The sequence below is a fragment of the Homo sapiens genome, chromosome 11 (assembly GCF_000001405.40).
Source record: "Homo sapiens chromosome 11, GRCh38.p14 Primary Assembly".
Lineage (NCBI taxonomy): Eukaryota > Metazoa > Chordata > Mammalia > Primates > Hominidae > Homo > Homo sapiens.
The window spans coordinates 73,268,492-73,282,915 of NC_000011.10; the positions used below are offsets into that span (position 1 = coordinate 73,268,492).

The 14,424-nt window shown below is 49.8% G+C and overlaps 1 protein-coding gene across 14 annotated transcripts in view, besides 3 other annotated features; it reads left to right on the top strand.

Moving 5' to 3' along the window:
- The window catches only part of P2RY6 (pyrimidinergic receptor P2Y6), a 34,120-nt gene that overhangs the window by 3,986 nt on the left and 15,710 nt on the right, over window positions 1–14,424 (top strand). For 2 of the 14 annotated variants that reach the window (NM_176798.2, XM_011545076.3), the window contains exons 1-2: window positions 1,403–1,664; window positions 3,816–3,975. The exons of 3 other annotated variants lie outside the window; for them this stretch is intronic. Coding sequence is in view for 2 of the 11 variants with exons in the window: in XM_011545076.3 (XP_011543378.1) it covers window positions 1,649–1,664; window positions 3,816–3,975 (176 nt within the window). In the remaining 9 variants the exon portion in view is untranslated. Of the gene's footprint in view, window positions 1–1,402; window positions 1,665–3,752; window positions 3,976–14,424 lie in introns of those variants that run through there. 9 more of the 14 variants (NM_176796.3, NM_001277207.2, XM_047427037.1 and 6 more) reach the window with 7 other exon arrangements.
- Window positions 1,499–2,292: an enhancer, noted in NCBI's record as "H3K27ac-H3K4me1 hESC enhancer chr11:72981035-72981828 (GRCh37/hg19 assembly coordinates)". NCBI's record gives its function as "activates a minimal SCP1, AML or CMV promoter by ChIP-STARR-seq in primed H9 embryonic stem cells {active_cell/tissue: H9 hESC(primed)}" and the evidence as "EXISTENCE:reporter gene assay evidence [ECO:0000049][PMID:30033119]".
- Window positions 1,869–1,918: an enhancer, noted in NCBI's record as "active region_5231". NCBI's record gives its function as "activates an Ori minimal core promoter by ATAC-STARR-seq in GM12878 lymphoblastoid cells {active_cell/tissue: GM12878}" and the evidence as "EXISTENCE:reporter gene assay evidence [ECO:0000049][PMID:35858748]".
- Window positions 2,293–3,085: an enhancer, noted in NCBI's record as "H3K27ac-H3K4me1 hESC enhancer chr11:72981829-72982621 (GRCh37/hg19 assembly coordinates)". NCBI's record gives its function as "activates a minimal SCP1, AML or CMV promoter by ChIP-STARR-seq in primed H9 embryonic stem cells {active_cell/tissue: H9 hESC(primed)}" and the evidence as "EXISTENCE:reporter gene assay evidence [ECO:0000049][PMID:30033119]".

Here is a 14,424-nt window from a genome sequence, read left to right on the forward strand (position 1 = left end):
AGCTTATGCCTGTAGTGCCAACTACTTGGGAGGCTGAGGAGGATCATTTGAGCCCAGGAGGTCAAGGCTGTAGTGAGCTGTGTGTTTGCACCACTGCACTCCAGTCTGGGTGACAGAGTGAGACCCTGTCTGGAAAAAAAAGATGTCCAGTCTCCTCCTGTCCAAGGAGACCACCAACCATGCTTCCTGCAAGCTTGAAGTGGGCCAACTCTTTTTAGGATCTGATCTGAATCCCAGAGGGACCACATCTCCTCCCACGGACCAGGGCTAGGCAGCCTCCTGTTTCAGTCAAGAGGGCTGAAGGTGGTGTTTTCCCTCCTGACTCCTGGGAGCAGCAAGGGGCCAATGGGCGGTGGCCAGGGATGTGCACGAGACCATTCCTGCCTGCCAGGGGCCTCATTACAGGCTACAGAGACCCTTCTCAGCCCTTGACTCATGTGGATCGGAACAGCTCCATTCCACAGCTGAGAAAACCAAGGTTCAGGAAGGGGTGAGACCCACCCAAGGGAGTAGCCAGTACTGAACTGTGAGCCCAGCCCAGAGCCAGGAAGGAAGACACTAGGACTGAGCTAGCAGTGGCTGCCTGGCGGCAGGGCCTCGGGGGTAGGACGTGAAGGTCAGCCTGGCCAGCTAGTGGTGAGCATCACCCAGCAAGGGCATGTGGGGTGTAAACTGTAAAGCACCTGATTTATTGTAAAGGACCCAGGGGCTTCCTGCTGGTGACTGAGTGCAGGAGGGTGGCTGTGGAGGGGTCAGTGCCCACAGGCAACGGAGGGTCTAAGGGGCTTCAACCTTGGGCACTCCTCCCCTCCCCGTGAGGAGCCTACACCCTGGGCTGAGCTGGGAGAGCCTGCGCCTGAAAGTTAGCCCCTAAGGCTTCCTCCTCATCTTATGTAACTGCTTTTATTCCTGGGGAAAATCAAGAGCCTGGGAACCCCACAAATCTCCCGTGACATCTGGGACAGTTTGAAGATTATGATAAGGATTTCGGAGCCTGGGAAAATAAGGCCTGTGGACTAGGGGTTTGCGGGGCTCCCCAGGAGCAGCATGTGTGTGGAGCACATGCAGAGGCCCGGGCCTGGGCAAACAGGTATGTGAACAGGTGTACACACTCCAGAGCCACTCACAGAAACACACACACACATACTTAGGCACAATTCCAAACACCTGTGCCTTGTGAATGCATGCGCATCTTCCAGCACAGGTACACATGGCTGACAAGCCCCCAGGCAGACACTGTGCAACCAGCATTCATGTCCTCCCCCAGCCTGGGGGCCTGACTGGGGTTGGTGGCTCTCAAGGCTACCTCAGGGCTATGCCTCTGCCTCCCGGAACAAGCTTTCCCAGGCCTCCTTCCCAGCCTTGTCTCTTTCCCGTCTCTCCCCCCACACCTTCTTACCACAAGGACAGAGGAGGGGCCCTTCCTGTCAGCTGGCTGGGAGCAGAGGTGGCTTTGTCTTTTCGGAAGAACTGGTTCTGTGGAATTTGTGCTTATTTCCCATCAAGGATCAAGGACCTGCTCTGGGGCTACCTCAGGGCCCCACAGGATGAGGGGCTGGTTTTCAGATGAGTTTTCTGCTTGCCTGTCATCTGGATAGTGTCTAAAAATTTGCAAACTGCCTTCTTGTCAGTGTCTTGCTCATTCTTCATGACACTCCTGATATGTAAGTGCCTTCACTTCCTCTATTTGGCAGATGAGGGAGCTGAGGCCAGAGAGGGATGGGACTGCCTGGACTGCCTGAGGTCACACAGCAAGCTGAGGCAGGGTTGACCAAAACTCTCATGAGCTGGGGTTGCAAGGAAAATGCCTTCAGCTTCCTGGGGCTTGGGGTAGGAGAATTTGGCTGTCAGAGCCTGGAGGGTGGGGCAGGCTGGCACTACCAGGTGGGCCTGCCACAGAAACACCTCACACTCCTTTACCAGGAGCTGACGGGGGGCACAGCCAGCCCCTCACAGGCCAGCACTGTGCTGGGAGGCTCACCCCTGAACCTACCTTTGTGGACATGCCAAGAGAGGGCAGGAGAGGGAGCTCTGCCTTGCTGTGTGACCCAGGCAAGTCCCGACCCTCTCTGGGTCCAGCGCCCTCTCGCCTACTGGGATATTGGGATTGGGGATTGGTTGAGGGATGTGCTCCCTCTCTGGACCACAGAGGAAGCAGAGAGCTTCCCCAGGGCTGGGAGTGGGGCACAAGCTCGGGATGCTCCCTGCCAAAGCGTTGGTGGCCCTGAGTTGCTGCCTGTGCCCAGGGAGTCCCAGTCTTCGCACTAGCCTGCTGCTGAGATCCACTGAGGCAGAGCCTGGCACAGAGTGGGGGCTTGGGGCCTGGGGGAGGGTCTCCTCCAGGCTAGGTGGCTGGGAGAGGGTGATCTGGCAAATCTAGATGGGGCCTGTCCACCTGTCCGAGGCTGCAGCCCCCTAGCTCTCCGCCCCTTACCCTCCTTTATGTTTCTATATCGCTGCTCTTATCACTATCTGGCCTGCTATATATTTACTCATTAACCAAAAGAAACTAATCTCCCCTGCTAGACTACAGGTGTCTCAAGGGCAGGACTTTGTTTTTTGACCTCAAGTGCGTTGAACATTACCCGAACAGAGTAGGTGGCCAATAAGTACCTGTAAGAAAGAAGAGGAGGAGGAGGAAGCAGGAGAGTCATCTTACAGACGGGGAGGGCCCACCATGGGCCCAGGTAGAGCCGCCCGGGCTGCCTTCTCCTCATCAAGCCCAAGCTCAAGGATGGATTGGCGCTGGGGAGGGGAGGATTGCCTGGGGTCAGCCTTTCCCCCCCGGCATCACCCTCCATCTTCGGTGCTGTAGCAGGACGAGCCGCGGACAAAACCCTTCAGACACTGAGATAGTGAAGGGAGTGGCTTTAATCAGCTGGGAGCATCGGCAGGCTAGCATCTTAAAATCTGAGCTCGTCAGGTGCTCAACTTCTGTCCCTTTTAAGGGCTCACAGCTCTAAGGGGGTCCACGTGAGAGGGTCGTGATCAACTGAACAAGCCAGGGGGTACATGATAGGGACTGCGAGCACCGGTGGTCAGAGTGAAACAGAACAGAACGGGAGGTTTCACAATGTCCTTCCATACAATCTCTGGAATCTATAGATAACAACAGCTGCTAGGTCAGGGGTCGAATTTTAACTACCAGGCTTAGGTCAGGCAGGCCCAGGCCTGGTTTCGGGTCTGGTTCCTTGGTTTCGGGTCTGGTTCCTTGGTTTCAGGTCTGGTTTTTAGGCGCCGGGCTACCTGCCTTTAGTTTCGCTTCTCTTTCCTTTTCCGAGTATAAAACAGTATGAGAGGGTCTCTCTCCTCCCTCAGTGCCATCCTCATCCCTGGGTGGGAGTTGTCTGGATCCATAGGGTTGGAGCCACAGATAACAGAGCCATTAATCTCGGGGTCTCAGCCTCTCTTAACGGACCTTCCAGGCACTGCTGAGAAAACCAGGTTAATGGTTTCCTGCGGCAGCAATGAGCAGAAGCAGGGCCATCTCCAGACTCCAGAGAAGCCAGGAGAGGGCTGGGGTGATAATGGGGAGGAGGATAAAAAACAGCCACCCAATGCGTGCCTTCCCTGTGCCAGGCCCTTGTCCTGAAATGTTATCTCACTCCATCCTCCCAACAGTCCCTTGGGCTAAATTGGTGATGCTGCTTGTTTGAGTGAGCAAACAGAGGGTGAATGAAGTGACTTGCGGGCAGCTGGGTAGAGGATGAGTCAGCATTGGTGTAAAGGACTGGAGCTTCAGGGTTCTCGGGATTCGAGTCCTGGCCCTGCTGCTTGCCAGCTCTGTGCTGTGGCAAGTTACTTCCTCTCCCCAGGTCTCTCGGTTTCCTCATCTGCTGCCTCTCCAGACTTCTGCCAGAACATTGCACGCGACAGTTTCAGGCACAGAACTGACTGGCAGCAGGGGCTGCTCCACGAGTGGGAATTTGCTCCAGCACTTCACGGACTGCAAGCGAGGCACTTGCTAACTCTTGGGTGAGTTTTCTGGGTCCATGCCTGGAAGGGCTTGCGCCCCTCAGCTCCCCTAGGAGCTTCCTGAGTAACTGCAGTCCACTTGCAGCCACCGAGGCTCATCACAGGCAAGAGTGGCAGTAGGGCAGGCACTGGGGTCCTCCTCCTTCCTCCGCCTGGCTATGCCTGGAGCCTGCAGACTGCACAGCATGGAGGGACGAGGCACCGCAGGACGGGGTCAGTGGGGGCGGGGAGGAGATGGACACATTGGTGCTGCGCCGTGCCTTGCTGGAGAAGTGGAATAGCTCAGTCAGGATTCGGAGCCACAAAGGTCTTGGTTGGAGTGCAAATGGCTGGCAAGGGCACTTTTCCTCTCTGGGCCTCAATTTCTTACTCTCTAAAATGGGGGCAACCGTGGTCTCTCCCTGCGTATGTGAACACTGCTAAGTGTAGTATCTGGAGAGGGGTCCTCACGGAGGAGGCTGGGCCCTGCCCTCAGAGCTCCCCAGGAACTTTGGTTGAGGGAATGAGTAGGAAGGATTAGTGATCAAATAATTGTCCACAGAGGAGGCCCTTGGGAAGCCTCTCACCTCTGCCATTCCAGCTAAATCTTAAGACAGCCTGGAGCTGGCCCCGTGAGAGTGGTTTGGAAAAAAAAAAAAAAAAAGTCCCTGAGTCCAGGTGTGACTTGTTAAGGGTGAAAGGGCCTATCTGGGAGAGCTGGGTTAAAACTTTTCCAGAGTTTCTATTGCCATTCAGCTCTGCTGACACCGACACAGAGAAAACAGGCAGCCCAGCCCATGCGTTCAGCCCCGGCCTCTTGAAGATATTTGGGACTCTCATCTCTTGCCAGCTCTAGAATGGGTCATATTCAGGGAAACTCTCCACCCCTCAGTATCAATGAGATGAAAAATGAGAAGGCCCTTTGCAAACTATAAAGTGTTGTGCCCCAGAAGGTGCATCTGTGTGTGTGCCAAGCCCCTGGGTGTGTACGTGAGAGTGAGAATGCCCAGCTTCCAGTGTATGTGTGTGTGTGTGACTGGCTGGGTGGGTGGAACTCTACACTCCCCTCGACTCCCTGTGTGGCTGGGACTCTTCTAAAATTCTTACAATCTTTTTTTGCATTTCCTCACTGTTTGTCAGTTTATCAGAAAGGGAGGGGGCCATGGTCCAGAAACCTGGAAATCGTTTCTGAGCCTGCCGACTCTTCTCTCCTGCCCTTGCCTTATCCTGTGGCTGTCTCTGGAGACCTGACTGCCGGGAGCTCCCAGCATGGCCTGTTCTGCCAGAAGCTTGCCTGGCTTCTCTGTGCAGCCCATCCACCACCTGTTTTTCCATCTGTGGCTATGCACTGGCTGTTTTCACACCACTGTCCCACTGACGCTTTTTATTTTGGGATTTTTATTTTTTTTAAGATAGAGTCTTGCTCTGTCACCCAGGTTGGAGTACAGTGGCACTGTCATTGCTTACTGTAACCTTGAACTCCTGGGCTTAAGCAATCCTCCTGCCTCAACCTAAAAGTAGCTGGGACTACAGGCATGTATCACAATGTTCAACTAATTTTTAAAAATATTTTGTAGAGATGGGGTTTTGCTATGTTGCCCAGGCTGGTCTCAAACTGCTGGCCTCAAGTGCCACTGACTCTTTATAACATCCCAATGCCCTCCAGAGATGGTATTTACTGTTCCCATTTTACAGGAGAAGAAATGGAGGCTTGTTGAAGGGAAATGGCTCTCCCAGAGTTATCCAACCAACTAGCGGCAGTGCTAGGGTTTCAATTCTTACCTAACTCCAAAAACTTTATTAACTGTTGTGGCTTACCTAGTAGGTGTGTGTTGGCTCTTTGGCTGAATGAATAAATAAATGAAATAACGTGAATAAATCATTCCGTCAAAATTGAGCTGAAAGAGAAAGTTAAGCAATAATAGCAAGGTCTGTCATTGACTGAGCAACTACAATGTGTCAAGTGTTTTACACAAAAATGAAAGCATCAGGAGGCTGAGGCAGGAGAATCATTTGAACCCAGGAGGCAGAGGTTGCAGTGAGCTGAGATCATACCACTGCACTCCAGCCTGGGTGACAAGAGCGAGACTGTCTCAAAAAAAAAAAAAAAGAAAGAAAGAAAGAAAAGAAAAAGAAAAAGAAAGCAGTCAGAATTATTGTTATTCCTATTTTGCAGCAGAGGAAGCTAAGGCTCAGAGAAATTAAAGGATCCTGTCCAATGTGGGAGCTGGGACTATAATTTGTCAGTGTCCAGGCCCCAGAGCTCTGAACCTAGCTTTCCTGGTTCCTTAGTGTTAGAGTGAGTCGGCAGAACCTGGCAACAGGTGCCCATTACAGCAGAGGACCCGGGGCCTGTCGAGACTCTCAGGAAGCTGGGTGCAACAGCCCACCCTGCCCCCTCCTGCCTTGGGACCATTTCCCCATTTGTCTCTGAAATAGGTTTCTATTTCAGGCTGGGGTGGGGATCCGGCAGCCCAGGCTCTGGCTCTCCCTCTGTGACTGTTGGCTTGTCCAGTTAGGGCCAATGCCCCGGCATGGGGTGATATATTGCTGCTTCCCCTGTCCCAGGGCTGGCCCTGTCATTAATAGCTCCATGGGAGGGCAGGGTCTGAGCAAGACGCAGTCATTTGGTCTACGGAGATGGCGTAGGCTGGGTCAGTGGCTTCTGTGCCCAGCCCTGTGTGGATTCCAGGGACCCAGGGGCTAGTGGGTCCAGCTCTCCCCTTAGGAACTCAGGGGCTGGGTACTGAGCTCCAGGAAGACGAACTCTGCAGTAGCTGAGACAGAGCCTGGCATCCTGACTCCCAGGGCAGTGCCGGTTTTCATGGCCTGGGACGGAGTGGTGGCTGTCCTGTGGTACCAGGAGGCAGATCTCAACTCAGAGTGAGGGATAACCTTGTTTCTATCATGCCAGAGGGATGGGAACCAGCCTTTCAAATCAGCCCACAGTTCCTGAGTGTCCTATCCCTTCTATTGAGGGACAGGGGCATGACAGGGACAGACCTGCACAGGAGAAGGAGAGCCCATTGTCTAAGGGAGGAGAAATTCCCTCAGGCAGCGGCTAATCTGATGGTTGAGGCAAGAGACAGACTTGGAAGTGCCAGAACCTGTCCTGCAGATTCACTAGTACTTGACAGCATGGTGCAGTCTCATTCCTCATGCCTTCGCATTGTGGCCCGCCACGCTCCTGAGAAGGACACACCTCCATAGCATGGAGAGGAAACAGAGGCACAGAGAGGCTAATGTTTGGCACAGAAATGCCTCTGTTGTAAGAAGTTGCTGGAGTAAAGCAGGTTATAGATTAAAAGCTAAACAGTCCCCAGCCTAGGTATCCTCCCAGGCTGGAAATCTCCCCTTCTGACTCTTGGATTCATTGGTGAGATTCATGGAGGACTTGCTTTGTGCCAGGCCCACTCAGGGGATTTATTATAGATTTATCTTATAATAACAGCAACACCAAGAGCGGTTAATACTATAACTCACATAGAATAAGTGGGGAAACTGAGACTCAGAGAGTTAAATAACTTGCTTGAGGTCATATAACTAGTAGATGCAGAGGGGATCAAACCTAGGACTATCTGTCCCCGAAACTCATGACTCTCCCACTCCGTGGGGTACTTGTTCCACAAGATGTCAGGCCTCAGAGCATACCATTAAATGGTAAAATATGAATGACAACATAAGAAAAGGAGCAATTAGGGAAATGCAAATCAAAACCACAATATGATACCACTTTACACCCATTAAAATGGCTACAATGAAAAAGACAGACAATAACAAGTGTTGCCGAGGATGTGAAGAAATTGGAAATCTCATACACTGCTAGTGAGAATGAAAAAGTATACAGCCATTTTGGAGTGCAGTTAGGCAGCACCTCAAAAGTTTAAACATAGAGTTACCATATGACCCCCTGGTTCCATTCAAAGGTGTATACGCAAGGAAATTTAAAACACAAAAACTTCTACACAAATGTTCACAACAGCATTATTCATAATAGCCAAAAAGTGGGAATAACCCAAAATGCCATCAGTGGATGAACAGATAAACAATTATGTGGCTTATCCATATAATGGAATATTATTCAGCCATAAAAATGAAATTTTTATTTATGCTACAACACGGATGAACCCTGAAGACACGCTGAGTAAAATAAGTCAGACACAAAATGATACATATTGTATGATTCAATTTGCATAAAATGTCCAGAACAGGCAAATTCATAAATACAAAAAGGAGATTCGTAGTTTCCAGGAGGATGGGGATAAAAGGAATGGGGAGTAACTGCTATTGGGTACAGGATTTCTTTCTATGGTTATTAAAATGTTCTGAAATTGGATAGTGACGATGGTTGCACAATCTTGTGAATATGCTAAAAACCTCTGAATTGTCCACTTTGAAAGGCTGAATTTTATGGTATGTGAATTATGTCTTAATTTTGTTTAAATCCGGGAGCAGGAATATAGAAACTACATAGAAGCTTGAGATGAATGTTGGTCCTCAGGTAGGTGAAAGGGAAACTTCACTGTGAGTTTCCTGGCAGCTGGAGTGAAAAGGGAGAAGCAGCCTCCAAAATGAGGAAACCAACTCTTCAGGGGCTTAGGTCCAGGGCAAGATTCCTATAAACCCAAGTTGGCCCACTGCATCACTGCATCATAATGTCAGAAATACAGATTTTTTTTTTTTTTTGAGACACAGTTTCACTCTGTCGCCCAGGCTGAAGTGCAGTGGCACAATCTCAGCTCACTGCAACCTCTGCCTCCCAGGTTCAAGCGATTCTCCTGCCTCAGCCTCCCAAGTAGCTGGGATTACAGACATGCGCCACCACACCTGGCTAATTTTTGTATTTTTGGTAGAGACAGAGTTTCACCATGTTGGCCAGGCCAGTCTCAAACTCTGCCTCCCAAAGTGCTGGGATTACAGGCATGAGCTACTGGGCCCAGCTAGAAATACAGATTTTTATTTTCTCCCACCTGAGATTCCGATGCAAAAAGTATGAAGAAAGTGGGAAGGGCCTGTAATTTGACCACATTTCCAAGCCAATGAGTTGGCCTGCTACAGTTTCATAGATGCTGGCAGAAGACGCAAGACTTCTGGTTAAAGATAAAGAACTTTGTTCCTCACAATAGGATTAGCCCAAATATCAGCATTTGTCCCAATTCCTGCAGGACAATGCAAAGGGGGCCAGGTAATACCTTCACATGCAATGGCTTGCATGACAAGGTAAGGAACCTGGAGCTTAGGCAATCCGCATCTTTTATAAGGGGCAGCAAACCTACCTGAACTTTGCCCCAGAGGAAGACATCATATTTGTTATATTTGTTATACCAGACAGTCAATAAACCTGGTTTTGGCTCCAGAAGGGGACACTATCTCTATCTTTATCTTCCAAGGCTGTCTGCTCTACAGATATCCTCGAAAAGATCATCTGGAACAAAGGCAGTCTGTCTCTGCTCACAAGACTTGCAGAAATCTGAGTGGCCCTTGGAGAATTGTCTCCCAATACAGTAGATGTGCTGGTCAAGGCTGAGTTTTGTTTGTTTGTTTGTTTGTTTGTTGTTATTTTGTTTGTCTTTTATTATGATAAAATATACATAACAAAATGTATGATTTTAATCCTTTTTGATTGTACAATTCACTGGTACTAAGTATACGCACATTGTTGTGCAGCCATCACATCACCACCATGCATCTCCAGGACTGTTTTATTTATTTATTTATTTATTTATTTATTTATTTATTTATTTGAGATAGTGTCTTGCTCAGTCACCCAAGCTGGAGTGCAGTGGTGCGATCTCGGCTCATCGCAACCTCTGCCTTCCAGGTTCAAGTGATTCTTCTGCCTCAGCTGGGATTACAGGCACACACCACCACGGCCAGCTAATTTTTGTATTTTTAGTAGAGACGGAGTTTCACCATGTTGGTCAGGCTGGTCTCAAACTCCTGACCTCAGGTGATCTGCCCACCCGCCTAGGCCTCCCAAAATGCTGGGATTACAGGCATGAGCCACCGTGCCCAGCCCTCCAGGACTTTTTAAAGTCATCCACTGAAACTCTATGCCCATTAAATAATAACTCCCCATTCTCCCACCCTCTCAGCCCCTGGCAACCCCCACTCTACTTTCTGTCTCAATGAATTTGACTTTTCTAGGTACCTTATATAAGTGGAATCATACAGTATTTGTCCCTTTTGGACTGGCTTGTTGTACTTGGAATAAGGTTTCCAAGTTTCATCCACGTTGTAGTATGTATCAGAATTTCATTTTTTAAGGCTGAATAATAATCTATTGTATGTATATATCACATTTTATTTATCTATTCATCCATCTACAGCTGTTTGGCTTGTTTCTACCTTTGGGCTATTGTGAATAATGCTGCTATGAACATTGATGTATAAACTTCTGTTTGAGTCCTTGCCTTCAGTTCTTTTGGTTGGAATTCTAGGAGTAGAATTGCTGGATCATATGGTAATTTCATGCTTATTTTTTGATAAATAGCCATAATATTTTTCACAGAGACCACATCATTTTACATTTCCACAGTAATGCAAAGGTTTCCAGTTTCTCCACATCATCCCCAACAACTTATTTCCTAGGTTGGCCTTTTTTTTTTTTTTTAATAATAGCCATCCTAATGGGTGTGAAGTGTTATCGCATGGTTTTAATTTGCATTCCCTATTGATTAGTAATGTTGAGCATCTTTTCATATGCTTATTGGCCATTTGTATATCTTCTTTGGAAAAATGTCTAAGTCCTTTGCTGATTTTTGAATTGGGTTGTTTCTTTTGCTGTTTAGTTTGTAGGAGTTCTTTATACATTCTAGATATTAATACCTTATCAGACATATGGTTTGCAAATATTTGCTCCCATTCTGTAGGTTGCCTTCCAACTCTGTTGATAATGTCCTTTGATGTACAATAGTTTTAAATTTTGATAAATTTCAACTTATTTAATTTGCTGTTGTTGCTGTTCTTGCCTATGCTTTTGGTTCAGGGTGGTTAGGGATATTTTGGTTACAAGATACAAATGCAACTAGCTTAGGCAAGAAAATGTATATCAGTTTATATAAATAAAAAGCCCAAGGTAGACCTAGATCTGACATGGCTAGATCCAGCAGTTACAAGGATGCCATGAACATCTCTCTCCTGACTTTCCACTGGGTTCCTACATTCTCACTCAAGTTCCTTCCAGAAGCACCAGTCTTCCATGGTCTGCACAGCTAATAATCCAGGAGAAAAAGAGTGAGAGTCTTTCATGCTGGTTCCACAAAATTCCTGGGGCAAACTCTAATTGGTTGCCCCTGAACCAATCACTGGTGAAGGGTCTGGATGGATCCTGGGTCTGGTGACCACCTTGAATGAAGAAAATTGCCACTGAATGGGGCGAGAGTCTCCCAGTAGGAAGAGATGCAGGACAGGCAAACATTCCTCCCCAGAAAGAGTCCAGGAATCTGATGGGCAGCCAGGGTTGGGAAGCTCTGCTTAGAAGGGTGTCCCTTACCTTAGGCTTCCTGTGAGGGGCCTGGGAGAAGTAGAAGGAATCCTTCTATTTGATCACTGAAGATTTCCTAAAGGACGCAGCATTTATGAGGCCCTGTGACTGATGGAAGGGCAAGGCCAGGGCAAGCTGGGCCCCAGGCAGGTTGGGTCAGAACAGTAGAGGGACTGGATTTCCCTGCCACCTGAAATCCTTCCTACCCCAGTCCTGCTCTGTTGTAGGGGCTAAGAATATGCACTCTGGAACCAGGCTGCCTGGGTTCAGACTAGCCCAGGAGTCATTCTTTCTTCCTGTGCTACCTTGAGCTAATCTTTGTGGCTTGGTTTCCCCACCAGAAGTATAAAATGAAAATAATAACCAGTCCCACCTTGCGGGGTCCTTATGAGGATTAAATGGGGCAATGCACATCTGGCACACACTAAGGCTTCAATAATTGTATTATCATCATTATTAGTTTGGGCCTCTTTTCAAGCACATCCAGAGCAGCTCCAGCTCTGTTCACCATCCTTCAACAGGCCTCTCACAGACTCTGCCTTTTGCCTCTACATACACTTGACCATTTCACTGCCACCTCCTCACCAAGCCTTCTCTCCTGTGGAACCATCCCTCCATGCCTGTGTTCTGGTAGGACTCTGGGGCACTGACTCTGGGGCTTTGGGTTATAGATCTTCAGGTAGATGTCCCTTGTCCCCACTGAACACCTGTGGGCAGGACCTGGGCCTCCCCTGTCCCTGAGTTTACAATGGGAGTTGGCCAGCCACAGATGTGGGGAGAGGGAAGTCCAGTGGTGGAAACAGCACTGACGAGGGGCAAAAGAAGAGCAGGAACTGAAAGTAAATCAGAGTCCAGCAGGTCGCGTGCAAGGGGCAGGAATGGGAGCTGAGAGTGGAGAGGTCAGCAGGGACTGGGTTTGCCTTTATCCTCAGGCACTGGGAAGATATAGAGAGGGCGTAGAAAGAGAAACAATGAAGTCAGACTTTTGCTGAGCCAGGGTCCATCTGGCCACAGAAAGGGGCTGGAATGGCCCTGGAGATGGAAAACCAGAAAGCATGAGAAGGATGTGGTCTAGGTTGGGGGAGGGGCCGTGGGGTGAGAGAAGAGGAGTTTGAAATGTGAAAATGGAGCACAAACAGGGCTTGGTGATTGACATGAAGTGGGACCTCAGTTTTTCCACCAGAGAAATGACAAGTCCTGCCCATCTGGCCTCTCCAGGTGGGATTAGAGGACAGCGGGCTCTTGGCACTGACCACTCTAAATGGCCAGTAACTATGTCTGCTATATCAGCTCATCCGCGCCCTCAGCCCATCCTCATGCCCTGGTACAGTCCAGGTCAAGCACAGACCAGACACTCAGGGTGCTAGGTCAAGTCTGTAAGCTCCAAGAACCAGAGTTGGGCTTCACCACCCAAGCCCACCCTGGGAAAGCCAGTGGGGCACAGACTAGCTGAGCTGTGCTGAGGACATCTGGCTCCCTTGGGCAGGGTGGGGCCCAGGGTCCTCCATCCAAGAAGGGACCAGCCCACATTCACAGTGATCTGGAGCAGATGGCACACAGTTCCTTCCTGTTCTATTCTGCTCAGCCATGGCTTACAGACACAGGCTAGGATGGAAGGGAAGTGACCCCTGGGAACTGTGCTGGGCACAAGGGCCAAGCAGGAGCCAGACAGTGGTGCCATTAGAACTCCACCCCTCACCAGCTGAGTGTCCTCGGGAACTGTGAATCCAGCTGCCCAGGGGCAAGGCCAGGCCTGGGAACCAGGTACTCTGTCTCCCACAGCTGACATCCCATGTCCAGATGACTGTGCTATCCCAGGAGCCGAATGTCTCTCCTCTCTTGGCCTCAGTTACCCTCACTGCAAAATGGGTGCAAAGGTGAGGAGAGAACTCTGGAAGCTCTAAGGGCTCCCCTCCCCAGTCTGTCTGATGGAGGAGGGCCTGCATGGGTCTGGCAGTTGGAGCAAGTCATCCTTCTACTCCTCCAAGTCCCCTGCAACCAAAGCCATGCCTTTGCTGCCCCTGGCTGGAGCATCAGGCTTGATGACTGGACACAGAGATGGGAGGCTCCCCACCAGCTCCCTGCAGGGCTACAGCATCCTCTTGCCTGCTCTGGACCTCAGCTTTCCACCTGTGACCTGCGAGCTGGTGTGGAACATCTGTCTTTCCACTACTCTGGCTGTCAGGGCTTGTTAGGGGGCAGGGGAGACTGCTGTGAGCCTGCCATTTGAGACTGCTGTGAGCCTACCACTGGCTGGTCCCTGGAGCCTCCCCATCCCACGGCCACAACCCCATTTGAGGCTCTATTTTCTCTGAATCTAACCACAACCAATTCATCCTCCAACTAGCAGCCCAAGGGACCTTCTAAGTCTCAAATTTGATCATGCCTCTGCCCTGCTTTAGAAAGGGATCTCCCAATGAGGACTTTCTTCAGCTGGCACCCTCAATGCAGAGGCCACGTGTGTAGCCTGGCATTTTGAGGCCTGTTGGGCCTGGCCCTAATGACCCCACAGCCTTACCTCCTGCAAGGCCCCTCAGCACCTGCAAACACAAACACTTGCAGGTACTCTGAGGTCCCACATCTCCAGCAGGTCTCTCTGCCTGGAGCACCTGCCTTTTTCTTTCCACACTCCACCAAAGAATCACCTCCTCCAGGGAGCCTTGCTTGATACCACAGACAGGGTTAGAGGCCTCCTTTGTCTTCCCAGAGACCCATGTTTCTACATCTTCATCTGTCTTTTCCACTAATGGGAGCTCCTCAAAGGACAGAGCCCAGAGAGGTGCCTGCATATTGTAAGACTCCTTGTAAATGCACGGCAAATGAATGAATGAATGGAGGAGGGAGGGAGGGAGGAAGGGAGCAAAGGTTGCAAGGGAAGTCATTTCTCATGAGTTTGGCTGGTCTATGATAAAATTATGGGTGATAATAGAAGCCCCACTGAGCAAATACTTCCTGTGCACCAGGTATTGGGCTAGGTGATCTAG